We start from the raw sequence: 3,857 nt of genomic DNA on the forward strand, positions 1-3,857 counted from the left end.
GCTGAGCATTTTAAAGTTAATTGGTTTTGCAATTAGAAGATGCAGAGAACAGGTGATGCAATTAATTTTACATAAATGTGTTCAGGAATAAAGTGTTCCAACCTTCCGTGCATCCTTAAATGGAGCCTGTGTTTACTTCCAAATGGGGTGCCTTCTAGGCATATCAATCTGGGCAGCTCACACAGCTCAACAGGGAGAACTCCTCATCCTGCCTGCCTTTTGGGGGTGCTTTGTGAGGTTCACTGGGTCTTGCCAAACATTATGGTTTAGGAGTAAGTGTAATTTTTTCTGTCTGGTAGATGAAGACACAGAGGGTCAGGGAGGTGCAATGGCTCACCCAAGGTACAATGCAAAGCTGAGACAGAGGAGAGAATGGATGCACGAGAATCTCTGGCTTCCAGACTCATTGCTCTTCCTGCCTCACTGCATATTTAGAAGCCAAATATGCCAAAGTGCATGAGTTTAAAAGACAGAATTGAACCCCTTTTGCCAAATGAAACAGCCTGGTGTATTTTAGTGTCCACTCTATGCCGGCTCCACGCTTGGCCCTCAATTTACATCGCCGTGTCCAGCCCTCACGATAGCCTTCCAGTGGGGCATCATGTTCCAGTTTTACAGATGAAGAAACTGAGGGTCAGAGAAGAGCAGTGGCCTGCTGCAGCCCACACAGCAGGAGTTTAGAGCCTCAGTGTCCTTCGGCTTCTGGACAAGGCGTTCTTTCCACCCCGTGTGTGGTTAAGGAAAGAGCTTCTGAAAGCAATGAGAGACAGAGAGAGGGGGAACATAGGCCTTTTTCAAATACATGAAGCACATCTTTTAACACTCCTGCCCCATGTGTCTGAAAAGCATTTTCAACACTGACTAGAAACACTTTACATCTTTCTCATATTTGATCCCTGCAACAGCCCTCCAAGATAGAGGTCATCACTCCCGTTTTACAGAGGAGGAAACTGAGACACAGGGAAATGCCGTAAACACACTCAGAATCATACAGCAAGCAAGTGAAGGAGGCAGAATTCAGACCCAGGTTCCGCTGACTCTAAAGCCCCTTTAGCACGGGGCAGCGCCTGCTCTGTGGTCCCCCTGGTGGATGGCGGGTTCCCAACACCACTGACAACACCATGTCCTCAGGGAGAGGCGTGAGGTGGGGCTGACCAGCCAGTCTGTTGTGTCTGCTGGTTGCAGGCTTAGATCCTGCCTCTGCTGCTTTCCAGCCATGGGCGTGGAACAAGTTACTCACCTCTCTGGGCCTCAGATTTCTCAGCTGTAAAATGGGCTTATAATAGGATCTTGTAAATACAGGATGCTTTGGAGGATTCAGTGAGGAGGCAAAGTTCTATATTGGCCCTTTCTGGTTTTCTTTGTGGCACACACCTCATTCTATCAGTTTCACTGTTTGTTTATTGAAGGGTTTTTGCCTCCATCTACTTCACCCAAGCAACAGCCCCATGAAGGTATGGGCCACATCTGTCTCAATCCCAGCTGTCTTTTCAAGTCACAGCATGGGGCCAGACACATAGTAGGTATGAAAAGTTGCAAGTGGATGCATTCATAAACTGGCACACAGTAGACGAGGTGCTTAGTTAGTGGACATTTATTAGTGTTCTCTGAATCCTCTAGAGGCCCACATACACATGTCCCTCGGTGACCCTCTCCTCGCCTCTCCAAAGCCTCTCCTGACTCCATGCTCCCCCACCCCTTAGCCCTCCCACCTCTGCCTCCCGTGGTGTTTCTCTGCAGCATGACCCTGAGGTTACTGGCCAAAATGAAGCCTCCCAGAATGTCCACATTTAGATGAGCACTGTCCTTCAAAAGCATCCCCAGGATGCTGGCATTGCCCCAGCCTCTGGCAGGTACTCTCTGAGCTTGTTCACGTGTCACAGAAGTAAATCCTGAACAATCCCGAGCCCCTTTGTCAGGCTGTCCTCTACTCTCTTGGTGCCCCCTGTAGCCCAGGGCCACACAAGGGGTCCTTGACCTTGCCTGGCCTTGAGTTTGGGTCTGTGTGACTTGGCAATCTTCCCATCCACTTGGCCAGACCCACCTCCTTATGATCTGGGGCCACACCTGGGGCCTCCATGTGCAGCCCAAACCTTACACCAACGGCCCCTGGAAGGCGCCCCCTTCTCTTCTCCAAAAGGAAACACCTCAGGACCCTTCCCTACCCTCCCCGACCTGGCTCCCAGTCAGGCTCCTCACACCCAGGCATCTCTCCCAATGTCAGGATCTCTCTGACCATGTAGGGCCCTGAACTGAATGTTGCAGGCTTTTAATCAGCACCCACTGTGTACTGGGCACCTGCCCTCAAATTGCCCAGCCCTGTGGGGAGCATCCTCTCCTTATTCCTGACATGCCCCAAAATCTCGGGCTCTTAGCAGCCCATGGAGGTCGAACAAGGTCTTTCTCTTCCTCAAACACATCCCACACACTCCTGCCTCAGGGCCTTTGCACTTGCTCTTCCCTCTGCCTGGAGGGCTTCGCCCCCACATGTTAGAATGACTTGGATGCTGTTCGGGTGTTTGGGCAAGACTATGGTTGAGGTCCCTGAAATCCTGAAATCCTGTGATTCTGACATTTGACTCTCAGTTTTATAATTTGAGATCTTATTAAAGTCAACATTCTAAGACTCAGTACTATAAGATTCTAGGTTTTGATGACTGTGAGGCTCTAAAATGCTGCCATTCTCAGAAGTGTCCTCTGTCACTGGAGAAACTCCCATCAGAATACGCCATCATCTTAGAGTGGGTTTTTTCCTCTTGCTCGGTCCCCCAGCCAAACCCACAATACACCATGTGAGTGTGGCACTTTGTGGCTTAGACACTGTCAATTCTTTCTGCATTTCTGCGGTCACACACTCACCTTTTCTGCATTTCTGCCGTCACACACTCACCTTATCTGCATGCTCCAGTCTCTGGAATAAATATTAGATGATGATGAATCTTTGGAGATTCTTTTATATGTAGAAGAGCTAAGTCTTCCAGGCAGGTTTTTGATACAGGGCACTAGTCCTGCACTCTCTACAAGGTGCGACTTGTGATTGGGCCACAGGGAGCCCAGAAGAGGGAATAGAGTTCCTCTTTCTTGCCCCAGGGACTGAGAAGAGCCCTTTGTCTGCAGAGGCTTTAGGCTGGGGTGGGGACAAGGTAGGAGGGTGACTATCTCCCAGCGGGTCTGAAAGGAAAGAACTAGCTCATGCTTTTTTGCTGTTGATATTACTACCCTCGTTTTAAGGAAGAGGAAACTGCAACCCACAGAGGTTTTGTGAATTGCCTGAAGCCACAGACATAGCTAGAAGGTAGCAGTCCAGTAACTTGCAACCCTCTCCTGGCTACAAAGATCCTGCAAAGCTTGCCGGAGTTAATAGAGCAGCAAGTGGGAAGCTGAAGCCCCATTCATTGATGTCGACTGCACCTTCATACAAACCTCCTCCTTTATGCCACCCGAGTGCATCCTTCCCGTTTAATCAATCTGTAATGGTAATTAAATGTGGATTGATTATGAAAGGATGCATTTAGTCACAGGTAACGCACAATAACACAGGAGGTAAATCAGGGTTCTTATCAATACAATAACCTTGCAAGCATCCCGTGCAGTTCATTGCACCCTCTGCACTTGGAGCCTTACATGATATTGCCCAGCTCTTACTGATTAGTAAATCTTTACAAATTGATGGCCAGGTGAAATTAATTGGCCACAGTGAGGGGTATGTTTGACCCAGGCCACGAGTTCCACGACCCAGTTGAGACAAGGCGGGAATGGGGGAATATTCTGTAAAGGCGGCACCAGCCACCTGGACCCGCTGTGGGGTCATTGTCCCTCAAATGGCTCTCACGGGGTCTCCATCCCAGCCAGGGTCT

At 49.3% G+C, this 3,857-nt stretch overlaps 1 annotated feature.

Annotated features, from left to right (window-relative positions):
• Positions 1,469 to 1,970: an enhancer, noted in NCBI's record as "H3K4me1 hESC enhancer chr1:30579535-30580036 (GRCh37/hg19 assembly coordinates)". NCBI's record gives its function as "activates a minimal SCP1, AML or CMV promoter by ChIP-STARR-seq in primed H9 embryonic stem cells {active_cell/tissue: H9 hESC(primed)}" and the evidence as "EXISTENCE:reporter gene assay evidence [ECO:0000049][PMID:30033119]".

This window comes from Homo sapiens, chromosome 1, assembly GCF_000001405.40.
Source record: "Homo sapiens chromosome 1, GRCh38.p14 Primary Assembly".
NCBI classification, from domain to species: Eukaryota; Metazoa; Chordata; class Mammalia; order Primates; family Hominidae; genus Homo; species Homo sapiens.